The sequence below is a fragment of the Homo sapiens genome, chromosome 3 (assembly GCF_000001405.40).
Source record: "Homo sapiens chromosome 3, GRCh38.p14 Primary Assembly".
NCBI lineage: Eukaryota > Metazoa > Chordata > Mammalia > Primates > Hominidae > Homo > Homo sapiens.
Window position 1 is genome coordinate 143227006 of NC_000003.12, and position 13349 is coordinate 143240354.

Consider the following 13349-nt stretch of genomic DNA (forward strand, 5'->3'; position numbering starts at 1 on the left):
AGAAAGTCTCTATTGGTATATTTTGGGCATTGGCTGGGATCAATTGCTGTTACTACGAGACAGCATGGCTTACACGTGCTTCGATTTGCTTTGGCTCCTAGCCAGCCCTTTACTGTGGTACCTGCAGCTGCCCCTGGAAGGGCGGGAACACAAACTTCTATCTTAGGGACAGTGGGGAAAAAAAGTCCAAATATATTGTCTAGGAATCTCCCCAACTTTCTAAGTACAGCTCTTTGGCAGGAAAGAAAAACCATAATTACAGCTGCCTCTTCATACTTAACGTATTTTCAAAAAGGAGATGAAAACTAGAAAACGAAGCAGAAAGGCCAACTGCTTCCTTCACCTACTCTTTTTTTTATTATTTTTTATTTTTTTATTATTATACTTTAAGTTTTAGGGTACATGTGCACAATGTGAAGGTTAGTTACATACGTATACATGTGCCATGCTGGTGCGCTGCACCCACTAACTCGTCATCTAGCATTAGGTATATCTCCCAATGCTATCCCTGCCCCCTCCCCCCACCCCACAACAGTCCCCAGAGTGTGATGTTCCCCTTCCTGTGTTCATGTGTTCTCATTGTTCAATTCCCACCTATGAGTGAGAACATGCAGTGTTTGGTTTTTTGTCCTTGCGATAGTTTGCTGAGAATGATGGTTTCCAGTTTCATCCATGTCCCTACAAAGGACATGAACTCTTCATGTTGTGTGGCTGCATAGTATTCCATGGTGTATATGTGCCACATTTTCTTAATCCAGTCTATCATTGTTGGACATTTGGGTTGGTTCCAAGTCTTTGCTATTGTGAATAGTGCCGCAATAAACATACGTGTGCATGTGTCTTTATAGCAGCATGATTTATAGTCCTTTGGGTATATACCCAGTAATGGGATGGCTGGGTCAAATGGTATTTCTAGTTCTAGATCCCTGAGGAATCGCCACACTGACTTCCACAATGGTTGAACTAGTTTACAGTCCCACCAACAGTGTAAAAGTGTTCCGATTTCTCCACATCCTCTCCAGCGCCTGTTGTTTCCTGACTTTTTAATGATTGCCATTCTAACTGTCTTCACCTACTCTTCTGCCGCACAGCCATCCTCCGCACGCCCGCTGCTTCTCTCAGGTGACTCCTGGGCCTGACTGTCCCACAGGCCAGACACCGGAAGCACAGGGAATTGGAAGTATCTCAGGCTATCCCCGGCCTCAGCTTCTCCCTTCCCAGCACTCCCTCCCTGAGGGTCCTCCTCCACAGGCTGCTGGGAAATGAATCCGAACCCCAGCACCCGTCTCTGGTAACAGGGCTAAGGTCCCTTCACCTACTCTTAAGAGACCTTAGCCCTGTTACCAGAGACGGGTGCTGGGGTTCGGACTCATTTCCCAGCAGCCTGTGGAGGAGGACCCTCAGGGAGGGAGTGCTGGGAAGGGAGAAGCTGAGGCCGGGGATAGCCTGAGATACGTCCAATTCCCTGTGCTTCCGGTGTCTGGCCTGTGGGACAGTCAGGCCCAGGAGTCACCTGAGAGAAGCAGCGGGCGTGCGGAGGATGGCTGTGCGGCAGGGCGCAGGAGGCCTGTTCACTGCCCCTAGGGCCTGGTGCTGGCTGGGGATGCTGGGAGAAGAGCTGGCCTGAGCTGTGGCCCCCCGAGGGAGGAAGTGGCACTTTTCCAAGCTGGCTAGGGAGTTGGGGGACATTGAGCTCCCACCGCAAAGCATCAAGCATCGCTGCAGCCATGATACCCATCGGAAGGAGTAAAAGGTGCTGGGGGGAAGGGGCAGCCATAAGAACACCCTGTCTTAGAATCTAGATAACCCTGCCCCCAGCGAGAGAGACATTTAAAGGCGTGGTAAGTGAGGACAAAGACAAAGCATATCTAGACCCTTCAAGGCTGCTGTTTGGAGTTCTCTGACAGCCAGCTCTGAGTGGGGCTGTGTCCCTGGGTAGTGACAGAGGCATGGCACTAACAGCACAGCCCCATCTCTCTGGCTCCTGCCAACCACTCCCGTTGGCTGAGCTTCCCCAACATGACCTCCTCAGGGTGGCTGCCCCTCAGGAAGCGTGTTTGAAGGAAGAAGTGTGGCTTTGGGGTCAGACAGCCCTGGGCTTGAATCATAACTGGCTCACTCATTCATGAGCTACCTGACCTTGGGCAGGTGGCAAAGCACTTGAGGCTTAGTTTCCTTGTTGTTGATATAGAAATGACAAGCCCTCAGAGAGCTGTCAGAATGATTACACAAAATAATGAAATGGGCCAGGTGTGGTGGCTCAGGCCTGTAATCCCAGCACTTTGTGAGACGGAGGCAGGCAAATCGCTTGAGGTCAGGAGTTTGAGATCAACCTGTCCAATATGGCAAAACTCTGTCTCTACTAAAAATACAAAAATTAGCCAGGTGTGGTGGTGCATGCTTGTAATCCCAGCTACTTGGGAGGCTGAGGTGGGAGGATCACCTGAGCCTGGTAAGTGGAGCCTGCCGTGACTTGAGATGGCACCACTGCATTCCAGTCTGGGTGACAGAGTGAGACTCCATCTCAAAAAAAAAAAAAGAAAAAAAAGAAAAGAAAAGATAATGAAACAGCCCTGGGCACAGAGTTTGGCACAAAGTCGGCCTTGCATCCATGTGAATTTTCTTCATTCTCTGAGGAAGCAAGGGCAGCTCCCAGGAGCCCATGTGGTCCACTTCCCTTCAGTCAGGCTTACCTGGCCCAACCTCAGGCCAGTGGGTGAGTATGGCTTGGTGAGCTGTCTTTTAATTTACTCTTTCATTACACTGGTGTCTGCTACTTTAACTGTTTTACTGTTTATTCCTTTTCCCAGAATAGTGCCTGGCACATAGTAGGTGCTCAATCAGTATTGCTGAATGAATGAATTCATTAGTTTCTTTTATCCTTAGACTACTTTGAGTAAAACCCTAAAAAAATCCATAATTTTCACCCTGAACAGTTACTGTCACCTGGACAGTCATCCCCTTTTTTCAGTTTAAAGTTTTTCACAAAGAACTGCCACATTCTAAAGCCAGTGCCAGGCTTCAGAACTCACATCACCTTATATATGTATTATCACCTTATATATGTATTATCACCTTATATATGTATTATCACCTTATATATGTATTAATACGCATATAAAGACTGCATCAAAAAGATATATACTTAGATGTAAAATCAGACAAAAATTCTGTATTCTTTAGAAATGACTGGCTACTGGAAATTTACTTCATTGGCCACTTGTTGGTATTTCTTGGCAATCATTACAACTTGCTCTGGAGTTTTGGCAAGGTGAGCAAATCTAACGTTAAAATGGTTTTCAGATGTAATGAAATTTGTATAAAAACTAAACTGAACAACTAATGAGGTTAAAATAATATATTTTGACAATAAACATTTATTAATTTCTATTTTCCTAGTTTATTTTCACATTTGGGAGCCAGTGGTTTTATATTGTGGCCTCAGACATTTTCATAGGTCCCTGAAGAACTCACATGACATGGGCCTTGCACCTAGAGTGCCTTGATGGATAAAATAGTCTCATAGAATTGTAGATGCAGCATGTTCATAATTTATTCTTACATAGAGTGGTTCTAGGTGTTAAAGACATCTGAGGACACTCTTCTAGCTCCGGCCTCTTCTCCACTGAGTCCTGATTCTCTTTTTAGGTCCTACCCCCACCTACCTTTTTTTTAGTTTTCACCCTCTATATTGAAACTGTCTAATACATCAAAGGTGCAGTTCTCAGTTAATCAGACATACCCATTTGCATTACGAAGTCATTCATTTTTGTATTCCCTTAAGAAGACAGGTTAGTGAATGTGAGCCGAAGGTCGGAAACAGTGGATGAATTCTTTGCGTCACTCAAGGGCATCTTCCCTTCCCAGGTAACCTGGCTGTCCCACGTGGCCTCTGGTAAAGGTGCTTTTGTCTGGAAATCCCCTGGGTGTCTCTCCTCCTCACTTGGCACTGGCTTCTCATCTCTCCAGTTCAGAGAGCAGATGGCAGAATGAGGTTGGAAAGGAGTGGTCGAAGGGCAGATATTTGAGACCTGTTTACTAACTTCCTTAGTAGATTTTTGCTATTCAGACTATGGTCTGAGGCTAAAGAACCCCTGTACCACCTGGAAGCTTGTTAGAAAAGCAGAATCTCAGGCCCTGCCCCAGAGCTGCCAAGTTGAAAGCTGCATTTTAACAAGATTTCCAGGTGGATTTGTGTGCACATTAAGGTTGGAGAAGCCCCGTACTAGTTAACATCACCTGGCTATACCTTAGGCACCTCAAACGTCTACTGCTATGAATCTGACCCAATCATCTGCCCCCACAGCTTGTCCCCCCTCCTCAGTTTCCTCTCTTCTGAATATCTGGGGTGCCTTAAACATAATTCTATCATAGAATTTGTTTATTATATGTTATGTTACACTTTTACTGCTTTCTCCCGATTAGATTATAACCTTCTTGAAGACAGGAATTATCTCTATTAATTTTCTGCCACCAGTGGCTTGCACTGAGCCTGAAATAAGTTTTTGCTTCTCTAGACCTCAGTTTTCCTAAGTATAGGCGCTGGGCTTCATCTCAAAGACTCCTTCCAATCTTAAATTCTGTGATTCTATAGAGCGCCTGAAAAAAATCAGAACTTTAAGGTTAAGAAGCACCTTGGAAGTCACCCAACTCAACACCTTCCTCCACCCCTGTCTTGCCCCACAGTACCCTCATTAAAGTGTAAGGCCTTTTGGCAACATCCACATCAAATGATTGTCCAACTTAAGCTTGGACATCCTAGTGACAGAGAATTTAGTACCTTTGTAACCAGTATATTCAATTTTCAGAAGGCTCTACATTTTTAGAAATGTGTTTCTGTATTTGTGAGGCTACATTGTCAAACTGAAAGGGAATGCATATTGAAATAAAATAGAATAAAATTCCACAAGAGCCACTTACCAAGTGTGAGTTGAGTGGGGCAGACACAAAGGTGACCCCAGGGCTTTTGCCCCTGGTGTTCATGCCTTTGTATTATATAATCCTTTTCCTTTGAGTTTAGATTAAGTCCCATGACTTACTTCTAACCCATAGAATATGGCAAAGGTAATGGATTGCTAATCCATTACCTTGTGATTACATTGTATTACGTGGCAAAGATGATGCCATTCCCATAATTATGTTACATTATATAAGTCTCCATGTCCCTGCTGTATTGTCTTGTTATCTCCAGTGGTGGCTTTAAAGAAGCAAGCTGTCATAACTTCTATAGCCACAGGGAATAAATTCCACCATCAGCCTGAGAGAGCTTGGAAATAGTCCCTTCCCCAGGCAAGCCTCCAGATGAAAACCATCTCTGACTGACACCTTGATTACAGCTTTGCAGAGGACCCACTTAAGCCATTTCTGGCCTTTTGACCCACAGAAACTGTGTAATCATATATGTGTGTTGTTTTAAGCGGCTAAATTTGTGTAATTTGTTACACAGCAGAGAAAATGAATACACTGCATAATTTTAGGCATGGTTCTTAACTTCACTGACTTTCTGTAAACCAGAGATGATAATATCTACTACCTAGAGTTGTTGTAAGGATTGGAGACAATTTGGTGGCTGATAGTAGAAAATAAGTGGCAACTTTTCTGCTTGTTGTTATTGTTATTTTCTCCTCGCATCTCCTGAGCCTCAGAGCCAATGTCATGAAAGAGTTGTCTCCATAAGCCTTCTCTACTTTCTTGCCACTCAATCACTGGTCAGCCTTCTCCCCTCTAGTCTTGTCTGTACCACTATATTGAAACAGCTCTTGTCAAGGCTACCAGCAACCTCTAGTTTATATGTCCAATGTTACTTTACTCTGTCATCAATTTACTTATCTTTCAAATGATTTTGCTGTAGCTGACAGACCACTCCTTGAAACATCTGGTTGACTTCCATGATAGCATGCACTTCTGTTTTTTCTCTTTGCTGTTCTTTCTTTCTTTCTTCTTTTTCTTCCCTTTTTTTTAACTGTCTTTGGCTAACATCCCACCTCTACCCAGTCTCTCGGTTCCACAGAGCTTGGTGTTAAACCATCTTTTTCTTACATACTCTTGCCTTATATGAATTCACCCATTTTTAAAATCCATGTGTTTAAATAGCATCCATAAGTTAATGGATCCCAAGTTTGTAGGTCCTTTTCAGTACACTCTTCTGAGCTCTAGACTCATATATCCAACTGCCATCTGGACTCCTCCATTTGGCTATTTCACAAGCATCTTAAATTAACATATCTAAAATGGAATACTCCATTCTCCATACTCCCAGACCTTTTCATTCAGCCTTCTTCTTTATCTTGATAAATGGTACCACCTTCTCCCAATTTGTTTCAACCAGAGATTAGGGAATCACCCTTGATTTCTTGCTTTCACTCATCCTCCCTGCCCCTGTCGGCAAGTCCTATATTATAACTAAAAAATATGTCACGAAAGTGTCCATTTTTCTCCATCTCTACTGCCACCACTGCAGTTTCCGGAACAGTGGTGACATCCCCCAAAGAACTAATTTTCAGACCACAGCCAGTGATCTTTTAAAAATTTAATTTGAATTATATTATTCGACTTTTTAGAGACTTTTAATGGCATGGCTTTCCTTTGTATTTAAAATAAAATTCAAACTTTTAGATAGCTTAAAGCTCTCTACTATGTGGGCCCCCTCACCATTTTCCTGTTCTTTCTTTTCCTCCATGTCCTCATTCAGCCACACACTCTGGCTGCTTTAGTGTGGCCCAAATGTCAAATGTCAAATTTCCACCCCAGTCCTGTTTTAGGGTGTCTTTCCGCATACACGATAGTTCATTGTTTGATTGCCAGTATATAGAACAATATTTTTAGGATCTTATAAATTTCATTGAACCTCAATACCTGTTGTTGCAAACACATACTTAACTGAGTTGAAAGGATGGCAATATAAACAGCAGTGACCACATTTGCCGCTCAGAGGCAATGACAACCATACCATAATTGCCTTGATTCTAAGGCCAGGTTCTTTCTACCTCAGGGCCTTTTTACATGCTGTTACGTCCCCTGAAATGTCCTCCTCCCTGCTCTCTGAATAGCATCTTTTCATTGTTTAGGTCTCGGTTGAAATATAACTGTCTCAGAAATGTCATTTCTTTTTCTTTTCTTTTTTCTTTTTTTTTTTTGAGACGGAGTCTCACTCTTGTCACCCAGGCTGGAGTGCAGTGGTGCGATTTTGGCTCACTGCAACCTCCGCCTCCTGGGTTCAAGCAATTCTCCTGCCTCAGCCTCCTGAGTAACTAGGATTACAGGTGCCCGCCACCACGCCTGGCTAATTTTTGTATTTTTAGTAGAGATGGGGTTTCACCATGTTGGCCAGGCTGGTCTCAAACTCCTGGGCTCAGGTGATCTGCCCACCTTGGCCTCCCAAAGTGCTGGGATTACAGGCGTGAGCCACCGCGCCCAGCCTAGAAATGTCCTTTCTTATTGTGTGATTTACTTTAGAATTCCTTCCCTCTTCTCTCTTACAGCACCTTATTTTATTTCCTGTACACATTATAGTTTGTAAGAATTCATTTGCTTGTTTGCTTGTCTTCCATCTGCCCCACCAGATTATTGGTTTCATGAGGGCAGGTTCTGACTGTTAGGTCAGTAAAACTTTGTTGATAGAATGTATGAATTACTAGGTTGGTGTAAAAGTAATTGTGGTTTTTGCCATTACTGTAATACAAGACTGTATTCTAGTTTTATCTGTTGGAGTCATTCAGAAACAATGTCATCCCTCTTGTACAGGCTGCTCCTTCAATTCCTGGAAGAGACTCTGCTCCCCTATCCCAAACAAAAGTTCTTTTTCCCATGAGATAAAATATTTTCAACCCTCTCTTTCTCACATGATTTTGATGTTACTTTATCATTCTGGCAATTTATTCAACAAATGTATTCAATAAAATTACGAATACCAGATTGTTCTTTTGGACAGGTTCCAGCTGTATTTTGTCAATGTTTTTTTTAATATGTGACTCCCTCATCCCTCAAGAAATGTGAGGTCCATAGAGTTGAACAAACTCTAGTAGATGTTGACTGTCCAGCTCAGTTGAGAGTTGACCATGCTTTCATATTCTTTATTTTAATGTCCATATTCTATTCATTCATCCCAAGTGGAAGTTTCACAAAGTCTAGATGAGAAGGTGGCTTCATGGCATTAGTGGGGACATGGGACTGTATCAATTACGGGTCTTTGGGTGCTAGCAACACAAAACTCAATTACTAACAATGGGCTGAACAATAAAGATGCTTAGTGTCTCCCATAACGAGAAGCTAAGGCTTTAGGCTTGGTTAAAAAGTGGCTCAGTGATGTCATCAAGGACCCAGTTCCCCCCTCTTTTCCTTCTCTGCCATCTTTAGTATGTGACTTGTCTTCAGGTAGGCTCCCTCATAGTTTCAAGTTGGCTAACGTAGCTCCAGGCATCACCAAGCCCAGAGTCTGTAGAAAAGAGGTTTCTTCTCATGCATCTTTTTTTCTTTTTTTTAAAGATCCCAGAAATCTTCCCCACCCTCTCACTCTCATCCCTTCTCATCTTATTGCTCAGAACTAGGTTACAGGCCCACTTCTAAAAAACCAGTGGGAAAGAGAAGAGATTGAGATCACCATGATGGGATCAATTCATGAAGATCCTCTGAGAAAGGCCAAGTCTCCTCTGAAGCACAAGACCCCTAAGCCTTGAATCAATTCAAAGTTCTGTTAGCAAGAAAAACAGGGTGGGGGATGGCAACCAACCACATCTGCTACAGGGTGGTCATGCCTTTTGGTGCTCGGAAGCTAGCTCTCTCTCAAAGTTAGCAAGTGGCTACTGTCTCATGAAATGAGAGCCACCCTTTTAAAATTCTCAAGTACTTTGAAGGGAGTTATGTGTTTTCCTGGGTGTGAAAGTTGTGGTCATACTACATTTTGTCAAACCTAAGAAACTATCTAGATGTACTACTACTTTATGAACCTCTAAGATTAAAAAGTTATTTTAAATTCTGACATAATGTCTTAACAGTAGTTGCATGACTCTTGAGTCTGGAATACTGGCCCCTTACTGCTTGGAAATTTCTTTCCTCTCTTGTGAGAGACCTGGCTATTACTCTTACTTTCCGTTGCATTGCTCGATGTGGAGCAAATGTAACTGCTTCATTTTTTGTGGATTTTTTGTTTTATTAGGTGTTATGAAACCATTTGTTGTTGCTTTGTGAGAAAGTATGAAATTGCATTTGTTCCTATAATAACAACAATTTGCCTCACAAATGTAAAATTTACCTCCCAGCCCTGTTCGTCTTTCTGCATACACAATAGCTCATTGTTTGAATGCCAACATGTAGGAGAACATTTTGAGGAACTTTTAAACATCACTGAACCCCAACACCCATTTCGCAACCACATATTTAACTCAGTTGAAACTATGACAATATGAACAGCGGTGACCAAGTTTGCCACTCAGACGCAATGACAACCATACCATGATTGCCTTGATTCTGAGGCATATTGTGATTTTAAAGATGTTAAAATGTGGGCAGAGAAGCTTGTGGTAGAATTGATAAAACATGGTACATCTGACAAGCTTGCGAGTCTGTGGCTTAATGAAAACTATCGATGGCTCCATGTCCCTCATTAACGCCTGAGAGAGCATGAGCACTGCAGCATGTGGAAAACGCAGAAGGCAGGTCACTCGTGGCATGAGTGGTTCTAATTAGATCAGCGAGACATGGAGCAAGGCTCTTTGCTGAGCTGGTTGTTCAACATGAGTGGTCACCACCAGTGCTTATAATTTTCTTATTGCTAATTGGACACATGCTTGTGTCTCTGTCACTTCCTGCATTTGTTTTCAGCTTCACTGCACTCTTCATCAAGGCAATAAGATTGTGCTAGAAAGGAAGGAGTGTGTGTTCGTGTGTATGTGTGTGGGAGAGTGAGAGAGAAAATGAGACATACATATACACAGAGAATGAGAAAATAAGCCCACACAAACAGAAATATTGGTCAGTCTTGTGTTTAGTGAAGAGAAGAAAAACACTCACCTTAAAAAAAATAAAAAAAACAATTCCTGAGCTGATTGGCTCCATGAGCTGATTGGCTCCAGTCAGCCATGTGAAATGAAGGAGGAAAACACAAATCCTTTGTGGGATTCTGTGGAAGGCTGCATCAGCACGGTTGCCCTCAAGGACCCCCTTTCTGAGATGAGGTCAGGCTCCTGCTGAGCCTGTGTCTGAACACCGCAAGCCGTGGAAAACAAAACCAGGCCCAAGCCCAGACCTCCCTGCTGAGATACAGATTTCCAGGAAAAAAAAAAAAAAAAAAAAAAAGAAAAGGAAAAAACATGTGAGAACCATCTTGTCTGATGTCGAGGAATTGAAAAGGCACTTTCTTTTTTGGTGATTCGCTGAAGAAAATAAGCCCTTTTGGCAAAGTTCCACCCTGCCTTTAAAGTTTATTGTTCTTTGGCATCTTGGTCCCTGGACCACCCATTCTGCATGAGTCTTTCCCATGTGGCATGAAGTAGACTAAAATATCATCTTGCGCTTGTCACATCTAGAAAGGAAGAATTGTACTGACTGACATCTGTTCTCCACGTTGTCCTTTCCCCTCGCCCCACAACACAGGCAGGCTGTGGCCAAGGCAGTTTCTGATGTGATCTTAGTGAACCATGTCTTTTTTCTTGTTTCTCCTAGCCCTCAAATCATTAAGTTTGTTATTTTAAAGTTTGATTTTTAAAATTATACCACTTTTCTTGGCAAAGAACAGAGAAAAAGAAAAATTGTTTTTTGCAAGTACTATGTGGTATTGAACCACCACACATTAGTTAAGATTTTGTACTCTGCTGAGTGATAAAATGAAGTTTAAAACCTGGCTCCTTCACTTTAGGCCAGTTAATGCATCACTTTGGTCTAGTTTGTTAAGTTCTATAAATCTCAGTTTTACTTACCTGAAAAATGGGGATAATAATGGAGGAAGCCTCCCCCAACCTTTTTTTGAGGATTAAATGAGGATTGCTCATGCACAGCCATGCACTGCCTGGCACCTGAAAAATGTTTAATAAATGCTAGCCAGCACTGGCACATTGAAATGTTTGCTGGGCTTTAAGTTCCTTATTAGGCTTTAGACATTTCATCACTGTCAACCCATATATTCCCAGAAAGAGGATTCTGGCCTTGACCATGTTTCCATCCCATAAACATGCCTTCCATGGGCAGTTGCATCTACCTCCAGCCTGTAGATGCTTCTCTTCCCAGCCCCAGATGGACAAATTCACTTGCTGATGAAACCCAGCTTACAACTAATACTAAAATGAGACTCACTGATCTTGCCCCAGATGTGCTTTTCCTCTGAGGTTTCTCTTTTTCCATCACTTACCAGTCATTTAAGGCAGAACTTGGGCCTTGCCCAGTCCCCCTTCCACTGAGTCTCCATGTGCCGTGTCCCTCTGAGTGTCCCCTGCCCCTCTGCTCTACCCTCCTCACTCCTGTCTTGGAGACCCTCGATTTCCTTGATTACAGTTTTGCTGTAATGAACATTTTTTTTTGTTTTTTGAGACGGAGTCTCGCTCTGTTGCCCAGGCTGGACTGCAGTGGTGCGATCTCGGCTCTCTGCAAGCTCCGCCTCCTGGGTTCACGCCATTCTCCTGCCCCAGCTTCCCCAGTAGCTGGGACTACAGGTGCCCACCACCATGCCCGGCTAATTTTTTGTATTTTTAGTAGAGACGGGGTTTCACCGTGATAGCCAGGATGGTCTCGATCTCCAGACCTCGGGATCCGCCCGCCTCGGCCTCCCAAAGTGCTGGGATTACAGGCGTGAGCCACCGCGCCTGGCCTGTAATGAACATTTTTAACTGGCCTCTCATTTCCATTTTCTCCATCTTCCAATCCATCCCTCATTCCGTGGCTCTATTCATCACGATGCTTCAGACCTCCAGTGGCACCACATTACCTTCAGCCTAAAATCTGAGCTCTGTAATAGGCCTGCAAAACCCTTCCTGATTTGGTCCGCCCCTTTAGCTTCGCCCATCTCTCATTTTAAATTCTTCATACTGCAGCCATATTGGAATGCTTGGAAGCTCTTCCCGATCAAAGGACATCCCTTAATATTGTATAAATGCTTCCCTTTAGAATGCACTTTCCCAATTTTTGGGGGGATGGTATTCATTTCTTCAGTGTTCGGCTCAGTTGATAACTTGTGTACAGCCTTTCCTGACCCTCACATCTGTGTTAGGTTTCCCTCTCATTGCATTCTAGGCATTCCTTAATCACAACTCTTACCATACTGCTGGAATGAAGGGAATTTGTTGGTTTTTTTAAGCTCTGTATCCATCATACTTTTCTTCAGTCTGGCACACAATAGAAAAGAAATATTTGTTTCCTGAAAGAATGAACGGAAGAAGGAAGGAAGGAGGGCATAAGATGTTAATCATTGTTTTGATGGGACTAAGTCTAAGAGTTAGATTGTCTTCTAAGGTACAATGTCTGTACATTGATACTTGACACAGGGGTCTTTAAATTATGAAATGAATTGCCTTTGCTCCATCTCAGTTACCTGCACATGAAGAGCACCCCAGTTGCTCATTATACTCCTTAGAATCAAAATTACATTGCCCACTAGGGCTAGGTCCTTAGGCCTAGAAGGAATTAACCAGCTTGCTTCCCAGGTTCTGTCCTTCTGACAATGGAGCTCACATAAATAGTTTAAGTCCGCCGGGTGCAGTGGCTCACGCCTGTAATCCCAGCACTTTGGGAGGCTGAGGCAGGCGGATCACTTGAGGTCAGGAGTTCAAGACCAACCTGGTCAACATGGTGAAACCCTATCTCTACTAAAAATACAAAAAAAAAAAAAAAAAATTAGCCAGGCGTGATGGCAGGTGCCTGTAATCTCACCTACTTGGGAGGCTGAGGCAGGAGAATCACTTGAACCCTGGAGGTGGAGGTTGCCGTAAACCGAGATCGCGCTACTGCACTACAGCCTGGGCAACAAGAGTGAAACTCCATCTCACAGGAAAAAAAAAAAAAAAGAGTTTAAGTCCACCTTCTCAGCTACTTGTCTTAGGAGTACTGAAGACTCTCAAAGAATAAATGCCAAGATGCATTGGTATATCAACCTTGACTCTAGTCTTTCTCACTGTATATTATTGTTTAGTTTTTTTTTTTTTTCCCTAGACGGAGTCTTACTCTGTCACCAGGCTGGAGTGCAATGGTGTGATCTCGGCTCACTGCAACCTCCGCCTCCCGGGTTAAAGTGATTCTCCTGCCTCAGCCTCCCGAGTAGCTGGCGCTACAGGGACGTGCCACCATGCCCAGCTAATTTTTGTATTTTTAGTAGAGACAGGGTTTCAACATGTTGGCCAGGATGCTGTCGACCTCTTGACCTTGTG

General features: G+C 43.3%; 1 annotated feature.

Moving 5' to 3' along the window:
* Nucleotides 1217-1717: an enhancer, noted in NCBI's record as "H3K27ac hESC enhancer chr3:142947064-142947564 (GRCh37/hg19 assembly coordinates)". NCBI's record gives its function as "activates a minimal SCP1, AML or CMV promoter by ChIP-STARR-seq in primed H9 embryonic stem cells {active_cell/tissue: H9 hESC(primed)}" and the evidence as "EXISTENCE:reporter gene assay evidence [ECO:0000049][PMID:30033119]".